This window comes from Homo sapiens, chromosome X (assembly GCF_000001405.40).
Source record: "Homo sapiens chromosome X, GRCh38.p14 Primary Assembly".
NCBI lineage: Eukaryota > Metazoa > Chordata > Mammalia > Primates > Hominidae > Homo > Homo sapiens.
The window spans coordinates 41,778,722-41,793,116 of NC_000023.11; the positions used below are offsets into that span (position 1 = coordinate 41,778,722).

General features: G+C 38.7%; 1 protein-coding gene across 11 annotated transcripts in view; it reads right to left on the reverse strand.

Moving 5' to 3' along the window:
* The window catches only part of CASK (calcium/calmodulin dependent serine protein kinase), a 408,621-nt gene that overhangs the window by 263,788 nt on the left and 130,438 nt on the right, over positions 1-14,395 (reverse strand). For all 11 annotated transcript variants that reach the window (NM_001126055.3, NM_001410745.1, NM_001126054.3 and 8 more), the window contains exon 3: positions 8,457-8,562. In NM_001126055.3, the coding sequence (NP_001119527.1) occupies positions 8,457-8,562 (106 nt within the window). The remainder of the gene's footprint in view (positions 1-8,456; positions 8,563-14,395) is intronic.

Genomic DNA, 14,395 nt, shown 5'->3' on the forward strand with positions numbered 1-14,395 from the left:
TAGTTTATTTTCTCATATAGCATTCAAAGTTTAAAATCTGTTCTATACTGTAACATCCCAATCCAGGATTTGTTTTATACAAAAATCTGACCACCTAAATGTTTTTTAACAGATATAAAAATGATACTGTATTTACAGTTAAAAAGAAAAAAAAAAAAACCCCAAACTCCAAACCCTGTCATTATCTTTACAGTCAATTATATTTTGTTTGCAGATCCAGGAGTTTATATCAACTCTTTTAAAACCCTTCTTCTATTTATCTCTATTTTAGTTTGTGCAGAAGAGTTAATATAGCAGGCCTAAACTACTATCTCATAAAAGGCTTGAAAGGCCTACTAAGGTTGGCCCTTGAGAGGTTTATCTGGGAACTTGGATTTCAGGACGGTCCTCTACATTCCTGACTGAAAAGACTGACTCACTGTGTCTAAACTGTTTGTGCTAACAATGTGATTTAGGCTGAACACCTGCTTTCTTTCTGGGAGTCTGGAATTTGGTTAAGTGCCAAGTGGAAGATGCCTATGTGACCAGCCCCCAATAAAAACCCAGGGCAGAGTCTCTAATAAGCTTCCCTGGTTGGCACCATTTCACATGTGTTGTCACAACTCATTGCTGGGGAGACCCTTGAAAGCTTGTGCCTGGTTTCCCCTGGACTTCAGCTAATGTATCTTTTCCTTTTGCTGATTTCTCTTTATATCCTTTAGCTATAATAAATCATAGCTGTGAATATGACTATATGCTGAGTCCTTTGAGTTTTCTTAGTGAATCATCAAGCCTGGGGGTGGTCTTGGGGATCCCTGACACACAGTTTGCAAAACTAAAATCAACTAAACATTTTGATACTGTGAGTCAAAAGAGATGTTTACTTTGCTGAAAGAACAAATAGCAATTTATATCATCACACATAAAAAGAAAAAATCAAAATAGATTATATAAGACTAGCTATGAAAATATGAGCAAATCTTCAAATAGATTAAAATGCTACAGTACAGATATTTATTGCTTGGTATGAGACAAACATATTTTCCCTTAAGCAGCAAGTTTGCTGGTAAGTAGTAATCAGTTCCACTCTATCAGTATAAATAAATTTCACAAACACTCCCTTCCCCAGGCATAAATACTAGACCAAAAAAAAATAATAATAAAAAAAGAGCTTTCAGTTTATCGCCTTTGTGAGCTACAAAAACACAAACTGCTAATATTATTTTAAAATATACAAAAAAATTAAAGATATAAAAGGTAAAAATATTAAAGATAAAAAATTTAAAAGATACAAAAAAATTATTTTAAAAGATACACATCATGTCGGATGTGTTTTAAATCAATATTTAATTATTGTAAAAGTCTCCCCGTGGTATATGTAATCGCTCTGTAATAAGGTAATTAAAATTCCTTGGCCAGCCAATTTAGGATTTACAGCTTAACTCAAGTACCAGATACTACTAAAGACAAGCCCAAATGTGTCACTTAGAAATAAATATTTAACTTGTGGGGATAACCCAACTCAGCCTGTCTTCAAAACTGAACCTGTATTTAAAATATGTTTCAGCAAATTGCTACAGACAGGTTCAAATTTAAGTGTAATCCCAAAGTAATGGATGTGCAAATATATGCAGATGTCTACAAAACTACTGTGTGTGTTGGGACAATGATGATATAGCCTTTATGTTGTATTACCCCCATTTTAAAGGTCAATCATCTCTTGACCTGCCCGGTCAGAACTCACATCTGCAAAAGTGAATGTCTAGAGGTGGGACCTGGGTACCTGCTTGTTTAACAAGTTTTATACCGGATTTTCTAACCTAAAATTTGAAATTTACTAATCTAATCTTTTCCATATCTAAAATTCTGGTTTTGTGAGTCTCTGTTTTTAAGCATGCTTTAAACTTATAAACCATTTGTGATTAAGTAGATATCAACTATTATTATTATTATTATTTTATTTTTAGAGACAGAGTCTTGCTCTGTAACCCAGGCTGGAGTGCAGTGGTGCTATCTTGGCTCACTGCAACCTCTGCTTTCTGGGTTCAAGTGATTCTCCTGCCTCAGCCTCCCGAGTAGCTGGGATTACAGGTGTGTGCCACCACACCCGGCTAATTTTTGTATTTTTAGTAGAGACGGGGTTTTGCCATGTTGGCCAGGCTGGTCTCAAACTCCTGACCTCAAGTGATCCACCTACCTTAGCCTCCCAAACTGCTGGGATTACAGGTGTAAGCCACCAAGTCCGGCTTATTATTTTTGAGACAGGGTCTCACTTTGTTGCCCACACTGGAGTACAGTGGCATGATCTTGGTTCACTGCAATTTCTGCCTCTGTGGCTCAAGTAATTCTCCCACCTCAGCCTCCCAAGTAGCTGGGACTACAGGTGTGTGCCACCATGCTTGGCTAATTTTTAAAATTTTTTCGTAGAGATGAGGTCTCACTCTATTGCCCAGGCTGGTCTCAAACCCCTAGGTGATCCTCCTGCCTTGGCCTCCCAAACTGCTGGGATTATAGGCGTAAGCCACTGAGCCCAGCCATCAACTAGTTCTAAGGATTTTCTAACATGATAAACAACATTCTCGGGCCATATAATTTCATGACTTCAGTTTAGGAAGAAAAAAAGGAGTGTTGGTTATACATAGTCTGTGGCAAAGACAGATATGGACACCATATTAAGAAACTCACTCATGATCCAAATATGCTGTTTTGTCTAGCCTTTTCTCCACCAAAATGATAAATGCTGCTTCTAAGTAGCCAACAAACAACAAAACTAACTGACCTAATTTTATTTTATTTTTTTGCCTTTCATTGTCTACACTGTATGGGTGTCATGTTACAAAAACTGTAAAAAGGATCCAGATAACCCATAACCTGAGCAATGAGCCCCTAAATACCAGGGGTAATTACATCTGTTGCCAGAAACATGAGGGCAATTCTGGAGTAGCTTAGTCTACGTAGCAGCTATAGAAGCAATCTCTCACCTAGCCAGTAGGTGGAACTATACACAAGTGCATTGGCTTTGTTTTTTGCTCCACATGACTTTAAATCTTAGAGTAATCGATATTTTTGGTTTGTTTGAAACCCAGGAGATAAGGAGGATGCAAAAAACTGTGCAAGGCCAATTGTTGAGGTGAATTTACAAAACAATGATACAAAAGAACAATTTTCTATTTCTAGTTTGCTTCTGGCCCTTTTGAGAAATAACTAAGTTATTTTAACTGAATTTATAATCTACTTTCAGGTCCCTAGAGCTAATAAAACAATTCTAAATTCAGAAATCTGTCAGTTAAAATTCATGTTCAATCAGGGAAAACTGAGTATCAACTGATCATGACATGATATTAAGGAATTATTGTTGATTTTGTTAGGTATAATAATAATATGATCATTTAAAAAATCCTTATCTGTTAGAAATACAAACAAGAGTATTTATAGGTGAAATTATAGTGCTTTAGAAATCTCCAGGGGAGAAAAAGACATCAGGAGGAACAGAATAGGAATGGCAAAATGTTTTGATAACTATTGAAGCTTGGTGACCAGTATGCTGGGGTTTATTATACTATTCTCTCTTTTCATTTGAAATTTTCCACAATTACACTGTTAAAAAAGAAAACAAAACAAAAGAAAACATAAGGCCATGTTCTAGTGATTTGGGTTAACACTGGGATCAGGTCACTGGAAAATATCCAATTTAACCAGGTCTCATCTCGATATACAGCCAACCATGAATTATTTCCATCACAACATACAAAATTAGTTACATAAAATCCCACACAGACTACTTCAACAATGAGGGACTAAAACTATCCTGTTAAAGCCACTGGAAATAATACTTTATAGTTAAAAAGCACTTCACCACTTACAAAGGGAAGTCACATACAGTTTCTCATCTAGTTCTCATAATCTTAGGAAGATTCTGAAGGTAAGCAAACTGAGGCTCAGGGAACTTATAAAACTTGGCCAACCTCACATAATTAGTAAAAGTGACAGAGCTGGGATGTTAACCCAGGTTTTATGAAACCAAAGATCCTTTTTTCTCTACTACACTGTCACTAAGTCCCCTTTGATACAATTAGCATACATGGTGAAATTTAGGTGAATTTTTAAAATTTGCTTTCTGTGATCATTACTTTATATAGTATGTAAAACTTGCTTTTTAGGAGGCTGGGCGTGGTGGCTCACACCTGTAATTCCAGAACTTTGGGAGGCTGAGGAGGGTTGATCACTTGAGGCCAGGGGTGTGAGACCAGCCTGGCCAACATGATGAAACACCGTCTCTTCAAAAAATACAAAAATTAGCCAGGCGTGGTGGCATGCGCCTGTAGTCCCAGCTACATGGGAAGCTGAGGCAAAGAATCGCTTGAACCCAGGAGGTGGAGGCTGAAGTGAGCCAAGATGGCGCCACTGCACTCCAGCCTGGGCGACAGAGTGAGACTGTTAAAAACAAAAACAACAACAACAAAAAACAAACCCAACTTGTTCTTAGTTTTCTCAGAAAATAAACATACAGACAGAAATATATTTCTTGAATAAAGAATAAAATTAAACCAGATAAGTAATTTTAAAAGAATTATAATATCTTGGCCGGGCACAGTGGCTCATGCCTGTAATCCCAGCACTTTGGGAGGCCGAGGCAAGCAGATCACCTGAGGTCAGGAGTTCGAGACCAGCCTGGCCAACATGGTGAAACCCTGTCTCTACTAAAAATACAAAAATTAGCCAGGCGTGGTGACCTGTGCCTGGGAGGCTGAGGGAGGAGAATCGCTTGAACCTGGGAGACGGAGGTTGCAGTGAGCCAAGATCGCGCCGCTGCACGCCAGCCTGGACAACAGAGCAAGACTCTGTCTCAAAAAAAAAAAAAAAACAAAAGAATTACAATATCTTAAAATTAGAAGGGATGTTAGAGGCCATCTCTAGTCCAAAATTAAAACCTTATCTTCAGGCCCCTTGGAAGGATCCAGCTTCAACTTGAGTGCTTCTAGTGAGAAACTACATAGTCTGTGAGACAGGCTGCTTCATTCATGGAGTAAGTTTAATCATCAAAAAGGTCTTCTTTAGTTAGAGGTGACGTCTGCCACTTGTTGATTCTAGTTACAGCCTCTGATGCCACACTGAATAAGCATATAGTCTTATATATGACAATCTTTCAAATAACTGTGGACATTGATTATGTTCTATCTATGGGCTTCTGCTTTGGGGACTCTTCCAGCAGAATAATGAAACGAATACATTCGTGGATAACCAAAGCCTCCCAGTCTTTTCAACAGCTCTTCTAGGCCAGTGGTCTTCAACCTAGGATTTGGGTATCTCTGGGAATACCCAAAGTCCTTCCAGGAGACACATGAACTAGGATATTTTTAAGGCAATCAATTTCCATATCTTCATTTTCCATAATTTTGTCTGTTTGTAAACAAGTCTGTGGTCTGCGGTTTTTCTTTTACATCTCCACAACTACAATCACCCATCTCCACATCTCCAGTTACCCATCCAAAAGGCAAACTACTCCTCCAACCCAAAAAGCCTAACTTCAAAGAGATGGCTGGGAAATGCACAGCCCCTGAGGGAGGGAGAGACCTTTGAAAGCAAAACAAAGAGAGTTTGAGAAAAAAAGGGAGGTTCCACCTTACTTTATCCAGGCAATATATTCATGGTAAGCTGTTTAAGAATTCAAAATCAATACTAAGATGAGTGTCACAGGGATGTCCATTTAACACTTTAATTTTGTTTGAAAAATGAAGTCAGATTTTTTTTTTCCCTGACAGAAAATGAGTCTGATTTGGCTGAGTGATTTGACAATAAGGACTAGCATTGCCATGTAGGTCACATAGCAGACATTTTCCATACAGTGAATGAGATAAACAGGCAATTCTACAGTTGTGTAGAAAATATATTTAAGGCTGGGCGTGGTGGCTCATGCCTGTAATCCCAGCACTTTGGGAGGCCGAGGCGGGCAGATCACAAGGTCAGGAGTTCGAGACCAGCCTGGCCAACTTGGTGAAACCTATCTCTACTAAATAATACAAAAATTAGCCGGGCATGGTGGCACGTGCCTGTAGTCCCAGCTATTCGGGAGGCTGAGGCAGGAGAATTGCTTGAACCCAGGGGGCGGAGGTTGCAGTGAGCCGAGATTGCGCCACTGCACTCCAGCCTGGGTGACAGAGTGAGACTCTGTTCAAAAAAACAAACAAACAAAACATATTTAAAAGAATATTCAAGATACTGAGAATTATATTCTCACAATAAAAGTTTTTATATATCAACCTAAAAAATATGTGAAGGGGTACATACGTTTTTCAAAATTCTTTTTTTTTTTTTTTTTTTTTTGAGGCAGGGTCTTGTTCTGTTGCCCAGGCTAGAGTACAGTGGTGCAATCATGGCTCACTAAAGCCTTGACTTCCCAGGCTCAGGTGATTCTCCAACCTCAGCCTCCCAAGTAACTGGGACTACAGGCGTGTGCCACCATGCCCACCTAGTTTTTGTATTTTTTGTAGAGACAGGGTTTCGCCATGTTGCCCACGCTGGTCTTGAACTCCTGAGCTCAAGCAATCCGCCTGCCTTGGCCTCCCAAGGTGCTGGGATTATTGGCATGAGCCACCACGCCTGGCCTCAAAATTCTTTTAGCAGGTTTGCCAGAAAAGATTTTGAAGGCTGTGTCTCTATGACACAATTTTCAGGCTCCTTTCCATTCTGGTTATCCTATTCTGCAGACATTCCAGTGTCCTGCTTACTATGAATGGTCCAGGGTGAACGGGAGGAGTATGACTTTGTTCTGAATACTATATACTCCTAATTAATGTAGCATAACCTTCCATTCAGCGCTTTTTAAGCTGTTGCAAACAACAACTAAAATGTTTACATCTTTTTTCACATAATCACAACTAAATTCACACTGATCTTGCACTTACTCATATTTGAATGAAGGAGTTAACATTAACTGGTCTTAAATTTCACCTTCTTTGTTTCAGCTCCTTTGCTACAAACTTGTAAAAATATTTTTGAATTTTGATGTAGACAGCCAATATGTTAGCTAGCCCTTTGTAGGGGGCAACTTGTGAAATGCCTCCCAGTGATCCTCACCTCCTGATATTCAGGCCCTGGTATAATCCCATCCCCCTTGTGTATAGGCTGGATCTAGTGACTCATTTCTAACTGCAGAAGTGATGGTGTGTAATTTTGGAGATTAGGTTACGAGACTGTGACTTCTGTCTTGCTCATACTCTCACTTGTCCTCTTGCTTGCTCTGATGAAGCCAGCTGCCATGCTGGAAGCTGCTCTATGGAGAGGCCCAACGGACAAGGAACCAAGGGAGGCTTGGGCCAACAGCTCTTAAGGAATTGTGGCTCTCAGTCCAGTAGCCTGTGAGGAAGGTAAGACTGCCAACAATCATGTGAGTGAGCTTGGAAGCAGATCCACATTGTAGTGGAGCCTCAAAATGACTTCAGCTCTGGCCAACAGCTTTATTATCACCTTGTGAGAGACCCAGAGCCAGAGGACCCTGCTAAGTTGGAACACACATTCCTGATGCACAGAGACTAAGATAATAAATGTATGTTGTTTTAAGCCATTACATTTTGGGGCATTTTGTTATGAAGCAATAGGTAATGAATATAACCTCTGACCTTGGTATCTTTTGAATATTTAGCAAGTATATCTTCTGTTTTTTTTCCTAATCAAAGTCACTGATTACAACCTTTTTTTTTTTTTTTTAGAAAAAAATAGAGATAGGTTTTGGTATGTTTCCCAGGCTGGTCTCGAACTCCTGGCCTCAATCAATCCTCCCTGCTTCAGACTCTCAAAGCACTGAGATTACAGGCATGAGTCACCACTCCCGGCCTGATTACAATTTTGAACAGAATAGGATCAAAGATAAAACCCTGTAGGATGCTGTCCTATAAAGCTTTATATAATCTCTTTGGACACAATCATCCGACCAGAGCTGGATGACCCAGTTGTACTATCCTTAGCTCACAATTCTCCATCTTACCAACAAAAAGTCTGCGACAGACATATCAAGTGACTTATTGAAATCAAGATACACTGTGATCTATAAAATTGCCCTTATATGCCATATGGTGATTATATCAAAAGAGGAACTAAGTCTGTCGTTACTTGTTTTTAGTTGCCAAGAGTCTTGCTACATGGATGCCTCCACTTTCATCCTACTCTTCTTCACTAAGACTTCTACTGGTCAGAAGTTTATAGTTTGGGGTCCTCCTATTCCTCTGAACTCAATTTCCTTTTGGAGTCTCTTCTCTGAAGCATGCTGAAAGCATGAAGAGTAACTGAATATGCCCAGCTTTTGCTTCCTTTGCCACTGTAAACCTTATGATGACATAATCCTTTTTTCTTGTGACTTTAGGTCTTTCTGAACAGATAAGTTCACAACTACTGCTAAATTTCAAGAGAAAAGTGTTAGCATTATCCAACACCAACATTGCTTCAAGTTTTACCCTTTAAGAATTAAAATACACACTCACAATTCGAAAACCATGTAAAGCATTCCATCTGAGCTATATGTCTCCAATAACTCTACAATGTGTGGATGTTTCAGCATATGACAGATACTGGCTTCCCGCTTTAGATCTGTAAAACAAACATACAGCATACTTCATTAGGTAGGAACAAAAGACAATTAGAGTGAATGATGAATGAATGGATGTGATCTATGGTAACATGGATACTTCTCTAACTAGAGAGATGAAATCCCCCATTTAAACTTAGCTTAACTTTTTACCCTTTAAAATCTTTGACTATAGCTTTTCATATTTTTTGCAAGCTTAAATCTATATACAGTATAGAGTGAGCTTTTAATAAAAAAAGTACACATTTCTTAATACTTTCCCCAAAAGCAAAAAAAAAAAAAAAAACAAACCACAAATACTTTCCCCAACTCTTCTAATAAAATCTTAGCCTCCAAATTTGTAACTCTTCCTTGATCTGCTAATAAACTAATAACTCAATTTACTGTTTTGATTTTTACCTCTTTTTCTTAGTTTTCCCTAAATAAAATAAAAATATGTTGTCTATTCTTTAGCCTAAAATCTAGCATTTATAGACCTATCAGGGAAGTTATACGGAATAGGGAACAAAAAATAGTATGGTTTAAACAGAAAAGGCACTATTCCTAGAGTCAAAGTCAGAATTTTTAAAATATCATTTATAAAATGTGCTGGGGCCAGGCGTGGTGGCTCGCACCTGTAATCTCAGCACTTTGGGAGGCCGAGACAGGTGGATCACTTCAGGTCAGGAGTTTGAGACAAGCCTGGCCAACATGGCGAAATCACATCTCTACTAAAAATGTAAAAAATTAGCCGGGCATGGTGGCGGGCACCTGTAATCCCTGCTACTCGGGAGGCTGAGGCAGGAGAATCACTTGAACTCGGGAGGCAGAAGTTGCAGTGAGCCGGGATCGCGTCATTGCACTCCAGCCTGGGCAACAAAGAGTGAAACTCTGTCTCAAAAAAAAAAAAAAAAAAAAAGTGTTGGATAATTCCAAACTCTACCTACCTCACAATGTTACTTTGAAGAACAAATCCAAATAATGTATGTAGGACTACTGTGTAAACTCTATAATACTATTTGGAAAACAAAGTTGTTAATATCATCATCATCATCATACAAAACAGTTTGGGCATGGAAATCGCTTGCCATGTCTACATGGAATAGAATAATGAAAGCCATCCAGTGCTAATAGCACTGGGGCTTTACCCGTTTGCTGATGACTTAAAATCCAATGTGACATTTTTATATTAGAAAGTCGAAGGGAGACAGGTAAGGAAGAACCAAGGCTAAGGATGTACTGCAGAAAGTAAAATAGATAATATTATCTCCTTTCTGATTTATTAATTCAACTTAGTCTTGTCAACAGAGCAATGATCGTAGATGGAACCTTAGAAGATTGACTTACATAAGGGTAGAATGAGAAAAAGAAGTCAGAAAATTTGACAAAAGAGAAGCCACAAGGAAAGGAAGAATCAATAATATTAAGAAAATCAAGAGAGTAGAGGAAATTAAGTTGTAAATAGCTGGAGAAGGCTGAAAGCTGAGAAAAGACCACAAGATTCAGCCAGAAAAGGTAATGAGAATCCTGAGCAAGATCAACTTTTGGGGAGGAGTCAGGGTTGAGGTCAGTATGCCAGAGACAATTATGTAATAATCAGTTAAAATTATCACACCTCTCATTGGGCTAAGTACTTAATATAGTCACTGTCACTTGATGTCCCAACCACACTGTGAGGTAGGTATTTTACAGATGGAGAAACTGAGGCTTAGAAACGTGTTCAAGATCACACAGCTATCATGAGGGTAGGTTTTGAACCCTGGCCTGCCCAATTCCAAAGTCAGCAGTCCTTCCAATAATGCCATGCTGGGTTTGAACACGATCATATTAGAAGAATCTGGCAGTAGGAAAGAAATAGCGGGGTCAAGAGAAGGTTTTACTTGTTTGTTTTTTTAAAGGAAGCACTCTGTGTGTTTGTAAGTGGCAGTGAGGAAAAGCCTACAGGATCTGGAGTCAGAAAATATGGTGCTGGTCCTGCCTTTGTCCTACCATCTGCAAGCTGACTGCTAACTTCTACAAATGACTTTCTTAGAGTCAATGAAATGGGGCAGTGACAAGTGATGTGGTACCTGCAGAGTCTACCAAATCAGTTGGAGAGGGCAGTGTTAAGATTCTAATGAGAAGCTGGATGTTTGGAGCCCAGCATGGCAGGGCTGGGGGCTCAGTGTTTACTGCAAAGGAAGAGATCAGAGGCACAGGAAAGATGCCTCCATCTCCAAAAGTAGTTAGGAAGGCCCCGCAGGAGGGGAGGATGTGAAGCAGCTGTGGGGTTTGTGCTGGGAAGTCATAACCATGAGGAAAGCTTTTAACAAGTGTGCTGGAGGGCCAGGCTGAGCCAGACAACATCAATCACATGCCTGCACAGATTTTTCCTCTCCAGGAGTGTTCTGCCTTCTAATTCTAGGAAAAGCTTAAAATTTTTATTACTCATTTTTATGTTTATCTCTAGCTTCCCATTTTTATTAGAACTCACCCTTTCATATCTTCTGTTTTCGACTTAAGTTTTTCTCTTTCCATTCCTCTCTATTCTAATCAAAAGCCTGATTTTAACTCTATCCTGTGACACAGGAGTCATGAAGTAAACAGATTTGGTGTTTGCCACAATTAAAACTGATATTTTCTCTTTATTTTCAGCTTATTTTCTATTTTGCCTCTTTCATGTAACTAAATTGTATTTTTCCTTTTTTGAGACAGAGTCTTGCTCTGTTGCCCAGGTTGGAGTGCAGTGGCGTGATCATGGCTCACTGTAGCCTCCACCTCCCAGGTTCAAGAGATTCTCCTGCGTCAGCCTCCTGAATAGCTGGGATTACAGGTGTGCACCACTATGCCTGGCTAATTTTTTGCATTTTTAGTAGAGACTTTTTTTTTTCTTTCAGAAGCAAACCATCACAAATGAGGACTTTTTATTTGCCACTATTTTAAGTCTGAACTTTAAACAGATTCTTGGACTGGTGGTTCATATCCATCAGCTCGTTCAACTTTAGCACCTGGAGATGGGGTTTTACCGTGTTGGCCAGGCTGGTCTTGAACTCCTGACCTCAAGTGATCCACCCTCCTCGGCCTCTCAAAGTGCTGGGATTATAGGCATGAGCCACTGTGCCCAGTCTAAATTGTATTTTTATCTCCACATTCACCATTTGCTATGTGATACATTGGTTATACTGAAAGTTTGTAAGCAGAAATGGATGCTCCATTTCTGCCACACATTTGGCTCCATTTGAGCCTCACATTTTGATTTGGTAAATGGCTGAACAAGTCCTTGGTCTAGTCTCTTATCACCTACCCACTCTCAAAATAAAGGCAGAATTGCTGGGGGGCCAGCCTTCAAAGCAATTTAAATGTCACCGGATCTGACATTTCAGAACTAAAGTCAGAACACTGATTTGACTTGATTTGCTAGTATGAAACTAGCAACATAAAAATATATTTCAAATGATAAGGGCAATGATCTAGAAAAATTGTGGTCATGTTTTCCTGAATTCAAGTATAAATTAAATAGCTCAAATAGCACAATTAAAAACACAAATATATCCATTCCAACTATAGATTCCACGAATATTAAACTCAAAATGTTTGTTTCTAAATATGAATGTGAATTAAAGATATATGTATTAAGTGCTATTAAGTCCACGCTGATATAGCAAACTAAAAACACTATTTGCCTACAAATCAACTCTAGAGGCAAAGTAGGAAGGAATTTGAAAGCAGGTGATGAAAATATGATTTAAAGTGGTGATTATCTGACTGCTTACAGATGTTAGCACAAAATGTACCTGGGAATGACATGACCCAGGGTTACCATCTCTATTTTGAAGTATTGTTTTGTTTACAGACTAGTAACTGGTACCTCTCTTCACTCTCCTTTGTACTTTCTTTTTTTTTAATGAGTACATTTTTTATTTTAATTTCAATAGCTTTTGTGGAACGGGTGGTGTTTAGTTACATGGAAAAGTTCTTTAGTGGTGATTTCTGAGATTCTGGTGCACCCGTCACCCAAGCAGTGTACACTGTACCCAATGTGTAGTCTTTATCCCTCACCTCCCCTCCCACCCTTCCCCCAAAGTCCATCGTGTCATTCTTATGCCTTTGCGTCCCCATAGCTCAGCTCTGACATACTAGTGAGAATATACAATGTTTGGTTTTCCATTCCTGAGTTACTTCACTTAGAATAATGGTCTCCAGCTGGGTGCAGTGGCTCACACCTGTAATCCCAGCACTTTGGGAGGCTGAGGCAGGTGGATCACCTGAGGTTAGGAGTTCAAGACCAGCCTGACCAATATGGTGAAACCCCGTCTCTACTAAAAATACAAAAATTAGCCGGGTGTAGTGACGTGCACCTGTAGTCCCAGCTACTCGGGAGGCTGAGACAGGAGAATTGCTTGAACCTGGGAGGCGGAGGTTGCAGTGAGCCGAGATCACGCCACTGCATTCCAGCCAGGGCAACAAAGGGAGACTCCATCTCAGATTAAAAAAAAAAAAAAAGAATAATGGTCTCCAACTCCATCCAGCTTGCTGTGAATGGCATTATTTTGTTCCTTTTTATGGCTAAGTTGTACTTTCTTTTTTGTAATTTCTCAGGAAATTTTAAAAATATTTTAAACTAATCTATTTCTGTGTTTAGTGTCCTTACATTTAACTATATGCCTATATTTATTTTATCAATTTATTTCCCTTTAAAAGGGGAACTAGTAATACAGGTAGCAATATTTAATTTTCTAACCCAAATTAGAAACTTAAATGAAATCAACCTGCCATATGGCATTAGAATGACTATTATTTTCCTAAAAAGTTTGGGCTCTCCAACAATAGTAAAGCAAGTATCCCACCAGGGTCTGCCTATCAGACTGGTCAAGTAAGGGAAAGTTAGGGAAGCTGGTTCAAGTGGTCTGTTTTAAAAATGATTTTCCTGTAAAGTATTATTTTACTACTATTTTTCTTGAAGAACTAGGAGAACTTTTCATTCTATCTGTATCTGAACTTAAAAGATCTAAATTTAAGATTTCGTTTGCTCGAGAGCATTCAATAAGGATTTTTTTTTTTTTTTTTTTGAGCTAGGGTCTCATTCTGTTGCTCAGGCTGGAGTGCAGTGGTGTGATCATAGCTCACTGTAACCTTGAACTCCTGGGCTCAAGGGATGCTCCCACCTCAGCCTCCTGAGCAGCTGGGCTACAGGCACGTGCCACCATGCCCAGCTAATTTTTAAATAGTTTATAGAGACAGAGTCTCGCTATGTTGCCCGGGTTGATCTCGAATTCCTGGCCTCAATCAATCTTCCTGCCTTGGACTTCCAAAGTGTTAGGATTACAGGTGTGAGCCACTGCACCTAGCTCAATAAAGATTTTGATCAACACCATCCAATTTAAGTATAATGTAAGCCATGCATATAATTTTAAATTTTCCAGTAGCCACATTAAAAAAGTAAAAAGAAACAGGTAAAATTCATTTTGATAACATATTTTATCCAATTCAATGTATACAAAGTATTATTTCAACATATAATCATACTAAAATTAATAAAATAAGTTACTTTTTTTGTACTATTATCTCTGAGATCTAGCATGTATTTTTACACTTATAGCAAATCTCAATTTGGTCTGGCCACATTTTAAGTGCTCAATAACTGCATGTGGCTAGTGTCTACCAAATTGGAATGGTGCCACTCTAGATAAGTTGACTTGCTTTAATTCTTATCCTCTCCTGATTGTGAGTTCTGTAATTCTTACAGATATTTATAATGTCAGTCATTCCAAAAAGAATCTAAATTCAAACAGATGTGTTTTTAAAAAATACTTTCACAGAAGGAAATCCTATAGCTTCTTTTAATAACCCAAATCCATCATTTAATAACTAAATCTG